Source organism: Homo sapiens, chromosome 13 (assembly GCF_000001405.40).
Source record: "Homo sapiens chromosome 13, GRCh38.p14 Primary Assembly".
Taxonomy (NCBI): Eukaryota; Metazoa; Chordata; class Mammalia; order Primates; family Hominidae; genus Homo; species Homo sapiens.
The window spans coordinates 72,574,122-72,587,589 of record NC_000013.11 but is presented as its reverse complement, the minus strand read 5'-3'; the positions used below and the strand labels follow the sequence as shown (position 1 = coordinate 72,587,589).

Genomic DNA, 13,468 nt, shown 5'->3' with positions numbered 1-13,468 from the left:
TCTGGTGCCTGCATCTTAGTTGCTATGATGAGTCTAGCTGAGATGTGTGTTCTCTAACAGCCTAGACCAGAAGGAAAGTCCACCAATGGCAGAAACACTGTGGCCAAGCTGGACATAGTGAGGCTTTAGTGTAGCTTTGAGTTTTGTGATTCCACTGACTGTGTGACTGTGACCAAGTTATTTAAACTCTTTAACTCCCCATTTCCTTACCTGTAAAACTAACTGTGTGAATTAAATGGAGTCATGCCAGAAAAGTACATGTTTTGTTTCCTGATGTTATTATTATTGTTGCTGTAATGAGGCCAGATCTTTATGTTCCTAGAAACAAATTTGCTACTGGTATACTGTTAACTGAAACTGTTAAAACCTGAAACTGAGGCTGAGACAGGAAGATTGCTTGAGACCAGGAGTTCAGGGCCAGCCTGGGCAACAAGCAAAAGACCCTGTCTCCATTGAAAAAACAAAAAACATTAGCTGGGAATGGTACTGCATGCCTGTAGTCCCAGCTACTTGGGAGGCTGAGGTAGGAGGATTGCTTGAGCCCAGGAATTCGAGGCTACCATGAGCCATGATGGCATCAATGCAGACCAGCCTGGGCAACAGACCCTGTCTCTAAAAAAGAAAAGAAAAGACTAAAGAAAACAAATCAAACCCAAACAAAAAACCAGCATTGATTCCAGAAGAAAAGATAAAATGAAAACAAATCTTTATTTTATATGTGAAGTCATGAAGTGTGTTTTCTTTTCTTTTTCTTTTCTTTTTTTTCATTTTTTTCAAGCAATTGTCTGAAATTTCTATAACCTTGCTCTGGATGGAGCAGGACAAACGCTCCACTATTTCAATACTGTTCTGGCAAGCAGTGTAGGAATGCACACATCACCACAGACCCACGCACGCTGGAGGCTTGCCAGTATTTGCTTTTAAAACTGTTTTTGATATGCCTTCTTTTAGAAAATTAAAGATTATGCATATTTGTTTATAAAACAGTTTTTGTCATGAGGCCATTCTGTGACCAAGAATGTATCTTACTCACCTTGTTTATCATAAAATTGGTCAGTTTCTGTGTGTTAAAACACTGAACTAGCTATGTCTCACTTTCTGCTGTTTGAAGGGAACAGGACTATTACCCCAATTTTGCAGATGAAGAAACCTACATACAGATTAAACAATGTGATTGATATTTTATACCAGGTTAATGGCAAAGCAAAAATGGGGTTGAGCTTCTTTCTATCCTTGATCTCATAGGCTTTATCACATTTCATATTGCCACTATAAAAAAGAACCTCAGGCTGTTTGTAAGCATGAAGAACTAAGTGATGGGTATTTAGCATCTCTTGTGCTAACTGACCAAAAACTGAATTGACTTCTACTACATTATCAAATTATTTTTACAAAATGGGTATATTGGACTTTCTCATCTATTAATGCTATTGCCAGTGCCTTCTCAATTGCAGCAGCAAGATGGCAAAAGGAAATGTAAGTTGTCATGCATTAAAAATCAATTGAAATGACGTTTCAACCTTCAATTGCAGCAAATTCTTTGAGAGAAGGAAATGAAATCCTCATGATAGCAGTGATAGTGATGTCCGTTGCTGCTTTTCTAATTAATTAAATGCATGATTCTTAAGCCCTGCCAAGTGTATATTTTTATTTTGCTATCTGAATATCCCCTTTCTTTGACCTTTCCTCTCTTTTCTATACTTCATTTCTTATGCACCTGCTCCATCTATGGCTTAGCTCCTTTTGTCACAGAGGAAATGTATTCTAAATTAATGTACATTTAGGTTATTTAAACATTTTCATATTAATTGAAGACCAAGTAATGCTAGACCCAAAGAAATAAATCCCTAATAGTGTGATTTCAGGCACTGTGCTACTTGAATGGGAAAAATATTTTGCTGCTGGCATGGTCTTTAGGAACACCTCAGATCACACCCACTTTCTTTCTCTATAAGGCTGTCTCTGCTTTTACCTGTTTCCTGGGTAGATGTGTTTGACTGTGATTCTGGAGAGATGCTTATTTGGCACAGGTTCCCAATATAACGGGGAGTGAGAACTTGTGGTTAACTACTATTTTAGAAGAATGACTAAAGTGCAAAGTCAGCAGAGGAGAGACTAATGAAATAGGCCTGTGTGTAGATGGAAAAGGCTTGGCAGATACATGAAATGGGTTAAAGGCCATGCTCTCAGAGAGTAATATGAAGGCAGGCATGAAAATGGGTGGCAAGTTTAGAAGCTGTCCAAAGTCTGATGTGGTGGACATGTGTGGGGATAGATGGGAATGACCGATTGAAACCAGATTGTGGAGGATTTTAAACACCATGCCAAAGCATTTGGACTTGAGTCTGTAGACAATGGGGCTCTGCAAGATTCTTCAATCTGTGTCTCCATAGCCACTTGACCTCCTCACAGGAGCTCTGCAGTACCCCAGAATGGCAGGAAAAGTATATTTGGAATCAGAATACTTGGATTCAAAACCTCTTAAAGACTGTATGATCTTGGGCAAGTAATTAAAACAGAACTGGTGACCTAGTCCTCTTGCTTGTCAAAAGTCCTTTGACAGTGTTGCATATTGGAGTTCAAATTGATATGGTCCAGTTAAGTAGGTTGTGACAATGCATGCTAGAGCCAGGGCTTGGAACTAATCCATTTCAAGAGGGTGGGTGAGATGGTTGAGCTTTGTGTCCCAGTCCAAATCTCATCTTGAATTGTAATCGCCATAATCCTCGTGTGTCAAGGGAGAGAACAGGTGGGGGTAATTGAATCATGGAGGCAGCTTCCCCCACACTGTTCTCGTGATAGTGAGTGAGTTTTCATGAGATCAGATGGTTTAAAAAGGGGTTCTTTTCCCTTTGCTTGGCACTTCTCCCTCCTGCTGCCTTGTGAAGAAGGTGCTTTGCTTCCCCTTTGTCTTCTGCTATGATTGTAAGTTTCCTGAGGTCTCCCCAGCCATGCTGAACTGTGAGTCAATTAAACCTCTTTCCTTTATAAATTACCCCGTCTTGGGCAGTTCTTTATAGCAGTATGAAAACAGACTAATACAGTGGGGCACGAATGAAGCATGGGAGCTGGAGAAAGGCTCTGTTGGTGAGCAGATCAGATGATCTAGAAGATATGGCAATAGATACCAACTCAAATCTCATCTCCTCTGTAAAACAATCCTAAAATCAGTTACTGGCAGCCATCTCTGGGCTTCCAAAGCTTGTTCTATATGCCTTTATTATAGTAGCATCCCACCTGCCTTTCAAACTAAGTAATAAAAAATCTCCAGAAACCCAGGTATCTTTTTTCTTGTTAGATTGATTCTTCTTGTTCTGCTGAGAAGCCTCTTGGCTTCCCTGTCCCAAGACATGACAACTCAAAATTTATAGGATTTGCAGTTCTAACCACTGACAGTGACTAATTGGCTGTCTAAGAATCTCAGTTTCAGATTCTCTAGAGAAAGCACAGCTTGTGGGTCAATCAGATTTCAGATGTCTATCCCAGTCCAGTCCACTTTGTCCAGGGGAATGGAGACACATAATCCCTATCTGTCTGTACAGGACCACACTGTGAATGAGTAACAGTTCTCAGGGCAGGGAAAACCAGTGCCTGGGATGGACATACACTATAAAGGGTTTCCACTACATTGATTTTGTGCTTCTTCAAGGCTAGGGACTGTGTTTCATTGATATTTTTGTCACTAGCACTTTGTGTACCATTTTGTACATATCTAATAAACATTGATACATTTTCGTTGAATAAATAAATCACTCCTGGCTAACATCAGAATTGCTCTTAACAATAATTAATATTTTCAGAGATTTTTATATAAAACACTTTCACAATCCATTCATTACATCCTCCCAATGATCTTGTGAGTGACTAGATTTATAATTCATTTTTGAGAGGAGGAACTGAGGCTACAGATCATGAACCAAGTGACAATGTGGAACACACCAGAGTTGAGCCATATTGAGGTCTGGAGAACCAGTTAGAAGAATACTGGAAAAGTATAGTTTGGACGTGAGGGTCTGGTTCAGGGCAGCGCCAGTGTGAATGGAAAGCTGAGGAAAGATTCTAGAGACATTACTCTAATGTCTTTAAAGTTAATGTCTCTGAAGAAAACAAAACTAAACAAAATTAAACAAAAATACCTTACTGAAAGATAGTTGCAGGTATTTAGCTAACTGCCTCTATTGTAAACTTTTCTTTTTTATTAATGCATAATCCAAATATAACCAATCTGTCATGAGCAGAAACTAAATCTATGCATGTTAAGTTCAGAAGAATAGGAGACATTCCTAAAGTTAAAACTCTTAGGAATTCATGACCAGTTTGTCGTCAAGAGAGGGACTAGTATACATCATCAAGCAAAGCAGCATCTATGTACATTTGAAAAATAGTGCCTATATATGAAGACATAATATTTAGTTAAAGAACAATACCATGGGTGGGCGTATGGAATTTCTACTCTCTTATGAGACCTAATAGTCTCCCAGGGTCTCACAGCCCTGAGATTGAGAATTAGTGAGGTAAGTATTAAGGATCTCACATACCAAAAATGAACATTGGATTGATCAAGGAAAAACAACCAAACAACAAATTTTAAAATGAGAGACAAATGGCAACTGACTAGTAGTGGGAATGAGTAAGGATCCAACTGCAGGTCAAAATAAGAATACTAAATTTTTGGCTCAAATTCTTGAGCAACATTATGGCTATCAATAATCCTGCAAAAGTCACTAATTTAGAATCCTTTCCTGAGTTTTGCAATTAACCAGAATTTTAACTGTCCTGTTTATGTAGGTTCACTAAGATTAGGGAAATGCTTATGGCTCTAACTCCAGTTTGAAATTCTTAATGTGTTGGGCTGGGCACAGTGGCTCATGCCTGTAATTCCAGCACTCTGGGAGACTGAGGTGGGTGGATCACTTGAGGTCAGGAGTTCAAAACCACCCTGGCTAACATGGTGAAACCCCGTCTCTACTAAAAATACAAAAAGTAGCCAGTCATGGTGTTGGGCACCTGTGATCCCAGCTACTTGGGAGGCTGAGGCAGGAGAATTGCTTGAACCCAGGAGGCAGAGGCTGCAGTGAGCTGAGATTGCACCACTGTACTCTAGCCTGGGTGACAGAGTGAGACCCTGTCACAAAAAAAAAAAAAAAAAAAAAAAAAAAGAGAAATTCTTATTGTGTCCACACACAGGGTTGTGTCTTTAGAAACGACAATACTAATGTGTATTGGGTGCTTCATATGTGCCAAGCCCTGGACTAATCACTAACACATCTTATCTCCTTTAATCTTCAAAGCAGGACTTTGAGATTGATGCTCTTACTATTCCCATTGTACAGACCAGGAAGCCGAGGGGCAAAGAGGTTAAGTGACTTAACGTTACTTGGCTATTAACTACCATGACTGGATTTCAAACCTGTTTATTTGACACTAGAAGCCAAATGCTAAAATGCCATATCATATTGGGAGGAGTCTATGTCTCCTACCTCCAGATCTGTACTCATGACTGCTGTCATGCTATGTTTTATGTAACTCTACTTATGAAGTCTTGTTAGTTCCAGTGTGATCGAGGTTGAATGAACTAGAGAAGATGTATATTTCAATGCTTTCTATCCCATGAGGATAGGAAACATGATCATGTCTAAGATTATGAAAATGTTGACTTCTATAAAAACAAGGATAAATATTGTAATAAAATAAAAAATATTCTGATTTTCATTTAAAAATAGCTTGATGACATGCCTCTCCTATTTATCTGAATGCAACATGCATAGATTTAGTTTCTGCTGATGACAAATTGGTTATATTTGGATTATGCATTAATTAAAAAGAAAAGTTTACAATAGAGGCAGTTAGCTAAATGCCTGCAACTATCTTTCAGTAAGATGTTTTTGTTTGATTTTGTTTAGTTTTGTTTTCTTCAGAGGTGATGGGAACAATAGAACTTTCTGGATAATTTACTGGAGTTTTATTTCATTTATGGAATACCAAAGTAAAGTAATAAAATAAATAACAAAATATATCTTGAGCTTTAGACACACTTCTAAAACAAAATGTATTTAAAAAAACATGGCCATGTATGCCTACTTTTCAATTTGAATAATAATTTACAATCAAGTTGTGAAGTCCTAAAAATAGGCAAAACATTGCGTTAAGAAATGAATACTGGTATTATTTATCAGGTGACTACTGATTATCTTTTGATGAAGAGGAAAAGAAAAGATTAAAGAGCTATTTCACAATGACAATTAGACAAAATTTTCTGAAATTTAGTCTTTAAAATCTTCTGTGGAGTCAAGATAGTAAAGGTTAAAATTAAATACAAATATTTGAAAGATATTTTGGCCACTTTCCCCAGGAAATAAGGTAATAAAAATAAAGTGGAAGACATAGAAACAATGATAACATAATAATTTGTTTGTCCTGATCACTTGTTTGCTTTCAGTAATTTTTAAAAGATTGATGAGTCTGTATCTTTGTACTTCAGCGACAAGCAGATTCATGACAATCATTAGTTTCCTGTGGTGTTGTTATATCAGGTATATTTTCATCAGGACTGCTGGTGAAATTATCAACCATAATATTAAGATTGGAATAAACAAGAGAGTCTTTCCTTACACAATCAATTCAAGTTTTTATTTCATTAAAGTGTAAGATGGTAATGTCACTGAATTGCTATCTAGGCTATTACCAGTCTGTGTTAATAGTCTTAATTTATCAACATTTATTTTAACCTTTGCTATAAATACCTGAAAACAAAGCTGACATTTATTAATTTTTAAGGTTAAAAAAACTAATATTTTTTGCCTGAGTTCTTTTATCACAGTATGTTCTTAGCAGAAGTTTAAGTTTTTGAAATCTTTTTAAAAAATGTATGTCTTCTTTATAAGTCCAACCTGTTTCTTGAATATTTATATATGTATGTGACTTCTAAACAAAACCTATGATGAAGCAGTGTGCTATAAGCTGAAGTGTAGCTCTGGAAGGAGCCTGGGCTCTTGATATAGAAGACCTGGATTTGAATATTAATTCTGCCCACTAAAAGACAAATAACTTTGGGTAACAACTTCTCTAAGCCTCACTTTCCTCATCTCTGCAATGGGAAAATAATACATGTCTTTTGGGCATCTATAAAATAGCAGTACTTATTATGTAACTTACAATTTAACTACACTACAATGACTAAAGGCAATGTGTACTTTAAAGATTTTTTTTTGGCCATGTGGTTTTGAGGTCAAGCAGATGTCTACTTCTCTAAATGTGAGTAACTCAGTGCAAAACAGGCCCTGAGTTTTTGCAGGATTAGTGTGCCAATGCCATCCTGCCACCCTAGTTCATTGGTCAAAAAGAGTAAAAGTGAAATCTAAATCACTGCAAATTGCTTGATGTTTATTTGATGACATAACGTTAATTAGGAGCCTCCATTTTCGTTTACACTCAGCTATGAAAATTGGAGGCGAGTTGTCGTACAACATATTCTTTAGTCCACTGTTAGTACAGGCTCTGCTACCTCAACACACTCTCAAATATTTCATGGAGAAATAAATGAATACATAAGGGTGTGGGTGGCAGAGTCTTAATGTAGGTACTGGATCCATCTGGTGAAATGTTTCATCCAAATCTTCCTTGGAAGACATTATGCTCCATGGGGAGAGGGGCTTTCTGGCCAAAATGATTAGTTAGTGTCCCGTGAAGCCTAAAGCTGTTTGACTGTTTCCCTGGGCTTCCTCCCACAATTTTACCCATGTCTTCTGATACGTCATTGGTACGGTGTGTCTTACTTTATGAGAGTTAAGTAATCATGTTCTTGAGATACGAGTAACAGATAAAATCCCTAAATATCTTTACAAGGAAAAGGAACCTTGGCTATTGCGTCCCAGCTCCCTCTGCTTCTTTTTGGGCAATGGGGTTTTAAATCAATCCTGCAGCCTGGCATTGGAATAAGTTTGAAAGCCAGGAAATCAAGCATAATAGCAGAGGCAAAGGATTATATTAATTTCTAATCAGATTTCTTCCCTTTCAGAACCAGCTTACATATAAATATATACAGAAGACCTTAAAAAGATATTTGAAGTTCATTCATTAAAAAAAGTTATTGAGAGTCTACTATATGCCAGCTCTCATGCTGGGCTCTGTAAATGACACTGATTTTATTCTTAAAAGTGATTAAGGGCCGGGTGCGGTGGCTCACATCTGTATTCCCAGCACTTCAGGAGGCCGAGGCGGGCGGATTGCCTGAGGTCAGGAGCTCGAGACCAGTCTGGCCAACATGGTGAAACCCTGTCTCTACTAAAAATACAAAAAAATTAGCCGGGCGTGGTGGCATGCGCCTGTAATCCCAGCTATTCAGGAGGCTGAGGCAGGGGAATTGCTTGAACCAGTGGGGTGGAGGTCGCAGTGAGTGGAGATTGTGCCACGGCACTCCAGCCTGGGTGACAGAGCGGGACTTCCGTCTCAAAAAAAAAAAGTGATTAAGGTACAAAAATATATATAACATATTTAGGTATAGAGTTTTAAATACTACAAAAGAAGCAGATAAAGTGATCAAGGAGTTCAAGGATGAACATCAAATACCACACATAGTGCCAGGCACATAATGAGGTATTGGATAAAATTTCATTTCATTCTTTCTTCTTTCCTTTACCTGTGGGAAATCTGTGTGTGTGTGTGTGTGTGTGTCTGTGTGTGTGTGTGTAAAGGAGCAATGAAATACTTTATGAAAAAAGTGATTTACTGGCTTTGGATATTAGATGATAGGTAAAAGGCATCCTAGGCAAAAGAAATAGTATACATTAACAAATAGAGGAAGGAATCGTATGTGGGAAAATCCAGTTGTTTAGTTTTCTGGAGCACAGGTTTGTGATGAGAGTTGTGAGAAATAAGGTGAGAGGGAAGGTTAAGGACTGCATTGGTGTTAAAGTGAGTATTCTCTGCATATCTCACAATAATATCAACTCTGGCAATATTTATAAGTTTGTATGTCTGGAAAAAATGTAAGCTTCTATACAAATTAAGTGAGGATTTATGTATTGAAAAAACACTGGTTTCCAATTTTTATTTGCCGGAAATCCAGAGAACTACATGACTGGTGAAAACCAATGAAGCATTTAAAAAGTTTCATGCCAAAAATACCGGACAGATCACTTCTAAGACTTAGATGTTGCCCCAGTGTATCCATCAGGATAGACTGTTACGCTGCAATAACAAACCCCAAATCTCTGTGGCTTAATCCACTATAGTTTCTTTCTCAATTATACAAAGTGTGCCATCCTACCAGTGTGGATCTAACATTCCAGGCTGCTTTAATGTTATATCTCTTCCTGATTTAAATGTTCTCTCATGTTTTCTTTTTCTTTTTTTTTTTTTTGGAGACAGAGTCTTGCCCTGTCGCCCAGGCTGGAGTGCAGTGGCACAATCTTGGCTCACTGCAACCTCTGCCTCCCAAGTTCAAGCGATTCTCCTACCTCAGCCTCCTGACTGATTAGCTGGGATTACAGGTGCGTGCCACCATGCCCAGCTAATTCTTCTGTATTTTTAGTAGAGATGGGGTTTCACCATGTTGGCCAGGCTGGTCTTGAACTCCCAACCTCAGGTATTCCACCCACCTCGGCCTCCCAAAGTGTTGGGATTACAGGCGTGAGCCACTGTGCCTAGCCCTCTCTCTTGTTTTCTATGGCAAGGAAAGAGTAGGCTGGACAATGAAACAGCAGCAATTAAATGCTTCCACGTGGGCACACGTCACATATCATGTCCACCTACATTTCATTGGCCAAAGCAAGTCACTTGGTCCTGCCCGACTATTTATCTTTCATGTTGTTTCTTTCTGGAAGGTAAAGATTTCATTTTGTTTATATTTTTTGCCCAATGCCTGGCAAATGGTAGAAATTTGATAGATGCTTTTAATTTTATTTTTCTTTTAACTATTTTATTACGTAAGTACTGCATGATCAAAGTGAGCATTAAAACTACACAAAGCCAAATAAAATGGAACATGAAAGTACCCCTTCTCAGAATGTTTCAAGAATAAATGAATGTAAGATTGATTTCAAACTCTTTAAAACAACATACAAATTTTTTACTCTCTGGCCCCAATGTATCTTTTCACTCAATTTTTTCAGCATTTACTCACATAGATTATTTTCTATTAAATACATTACCCAAATATTATATCCATTCACACTACTGTACCCTTCACTTACTATTTTCTTTGCCTACAATTTTCATTCACTTTTTCCTCTACTGGTCTAACTTCCTTTGTGAAGCTTTTTGGACTCTTCTTGACAGTGCTAATGCCCTCTATGCTCTTGTAACACCTTGGACAGATGTCATCTTTCTCGACTCTTAGCCCCTCAGTTTCTTAAAGGCAGCTAAGTGCTTATTCATCTTAAATAGCCAGTACCCTTTTCAGGTACTGGTACAGAGGAAGTGTTCCATCATCTGGTTCACCATTCCCTTGTATCTTTAATATTTCTTTATCTGTTTGCTTCTTCTCATCAGCTTATATATGCTCTCAATGATTTCTCATTCTGCAGAAAGTCCTCACCTGATCTTCTAATCACAGTTTTAGCTCTCTTCTTTACTGTGTCTTGAAATGTCTTCAAAGAGCTGGCCGTACTTCCTGTCCCTACTCTTTCACTTCTCATTCATGCTTGGACACACTGCTACCTGGTTTATGCTTTTACAACTTCACAGAAATGACCTAGGAAATCTAACAAATGATCTAAATGCCAAATCCAATTGCAGTGTTTCAGTTCTTAATTTAAATGTCTCCTCCAATGTATTTTTAAAAATTGAATTAAAATAATTGAATTAAAGTCATATTTGCACACAATAATGTAGTTATCTACTGCTTTTCTCTCTTCTCCATCCCAATTCCTACGTTGATTGGGATCCAGTGTAATTTCCCTTCACTTTTTTACTCTTGTTACGTGTTAAATGCTGGGATTTAGGTTGAGTGAAGTCTAGCCTGAGGAAAGAAGTCATAGGACAAGAAGAAATGACATCCAAATGTAATGTGTTAGGTTTGGAGAACAAAAACAAAAACACAAGAAATGAACAAAAAACTAAAGTCTGTGCTATATGCAATTGTGATAGTATGAGCAAATAGGAACTGTTGGTCAGTGTACCTAAGATTTAGAGGGCATGGCTGAGTTAAATCATAGCTTACTAGGCTAAACAGCCTTGGTTTCAAGTGATTCTTTTGAAGTGGAGAATTTTGTAGTGAGAAAAGGGAATTTATGGCATAGAAAACAGATTATTTATACACTATGTAAGAATCTTGTAGACAGCATTCAAAACAGTCCAAAGGCATCTGCCTTTCAGATGTGCAGGGAAACTATAACTTCTCCAGGTACCATTACATGGTTGTGTGAATTTTCCATTGGTGTTACAAATAATAGAACTTATGAGGGAAATGAAATTGATAAACACCATGCAATTGAGATTTTGAAAATCTACATTTTAAAGACTGCATTTAGAACTGAAGCTGAAGACAGAGTGAGAACTCTCATACTGTTGTGAGAAGCTAAAGTGTACTAGGGTAGGACTGTGGGTTTGGAACAAATGTAATCTAAAAACAAGCAAGGGCAATTAAAGAAGAGGATTCATACTGACATTTCAAATGCCTCCTGGAAATCCAGTAGAACTTTCTAGTCTTATCTCCCACTGCTGCCTCTTACACTCTGTTGCTTCAGCCAAACTGGACACTCTTGTAGCTTCCCAGTTGATACAAAGTTCTGAAAATTTTAGACCTCTCTTCCTATTACATTTACTACCATATTAGTGTTTTAATATCCTTAGAAACTTGGAATAAACTTAAAAGCAAATGTAGTTTCACATCTTTGTCATTTGTCTGTATGATGATTTGTCTTTGTTTGTTAACTCTTCCTCTTGAATTTCAAGAATTAGTTACTTATTCATTATTATCATTGACATTTCCTGTGCTTTCATTTGTTTCTCTACCACTGACTGTTTCCTCAATTTCATTATTATCAAACAGCCCTTCTGTGATAGACTGCTGTTCCCCATCTTCATATTGATTAATTTCATTTTCACATGCATCATTCTGATTTCCAACATCTTCAGAACAGTCTTCAGAAGATGAGTCATTTGCAAAGACAGATTTTCATTAGTGGAGTCATCCTCAGAGTCAGAATGTGATGGTCTGTTCGCAGGAATATTGTTTGCTCCTCTGTGTCTTTCATTATCTCTTGGAAGGGATGTGCCTGATGTACTTGCTTGGTCATTATCCAAGTAATTAAAATCAAATGTACTTATTTTGTAGATTAAACAAGAACATTCTTTATTATGATTGTTTGCAATTGAAGCTTCAGGGACACTTTCGGCTGGATATTACATTAAATATTATGTTCCATTTAAATTAAAACATTTAATCAGAAATTCTGAAAAGCAAGATATGTAAGCGAATGCCTCATATGTTAAAATCATGAGATGCAGTGCCACTGTAATATTCTTTCATGAATTTAATATACAACAAATAAAAAGTTTAAGAGATTATCAATGCTGATTATAGATTCTAGTCACTGGCATTGTTATGGTTCTCTCTCTCTCTCTCTCTGTGTGTGTGTGTGTGTGTGTGTGTGTGTGTGTGTAAATTTCCAAAGAGCTTATAAGCTGTTATATAACCGTGTTATAAAAGCACTGCGGTCCTTTAAAATTTTTAATGAATTTTTCCCCTATGGTAGGGACATTTTCTTTTTGTCAGCAAGGACATTTTGGACAATTAATTGATTAAAATACCTATGTAAAAACATGCAATCTGATAACTAAGTGGGTACCAGAAGAAGATGAGAAGATAAATTATTTTGGGTACCCCAGAGCTATGAGGCCTACAAAATGTGCCTGCTATCTTAGATTAGGTAAGCAGGGAAGTTGGTGATGGGGTGCTCTGGGGATCACATAAAAATGTATTTCAGGAGCAAGAAAAGCTTAGGGGCCTGCAGGAGAAAGCCTAGTGGACCTGGTACTCCACAGATATCATGGGAAAGATAGCCTTATTTATTTATTTATTATTATTTTTTGAGACAGGGTCTCATTCTGTCACCCAGGCTGAAGCACAGTGGTGCGATCATGGCTCACTGTAGCCTTGACCTCTCACGCTCAGGTGATTCTCCTACCTCAGCCTTCCTAGTAGCTGGGACTACAGGTGTGCATCACCACACCTGGGTACTTTTTTGTATTTTGTGGTAGAGATGGGGTTTTGCTATGTTGCCCAGGCTGGTCTCAAACTCCTGGGCTCAAGCAGCAATCTGCCTGCCTCGGCCTCCCAAAGTGCTGGCATTATAGATGCTTGTCCTTATTTAAAGTAGGCTGGTAAGTATTGTACCTTACAAGTTTAAGAGCCAGAAGAAGTAAGATGGTAGAACTTGCACATGCAGGACTTTCTGAGCTATTCTCTCTGCTGCTGCCTCCAAGGCAGTGAAACACCCCCCGCAAGCCCCTGCCCCATCTGGGC

At 37.8% G+C, this 13,468-nt stretch overlaps 1 non-coding gene across 1 annotated transcript, besides 1 other annotated feature; it reads right to left on the bottom strand.

The window, feature by feature from the left end:
- Positions 1–779: 779 nt before the first annotated feature.
- Positions 780–910, bottom strand: LOC124900344 (small nucleolar RNA SNORA9). The gene has a single exon (XR_007063955.1). It is a non-coding gene; the product is annotated as a small nucleolar RNA SNORA9 (small nucleolar RNA).
- Positions 11,700–12,674: an enhancer, noted in NCBI's record as "VISTA enhancer hs135". NCBI's record gives its function as "enhancer in: eye[3/4]" and the evidence as "EXISTENCE:transgenic organism evidence [ECO:0001131][PMID:17130149]".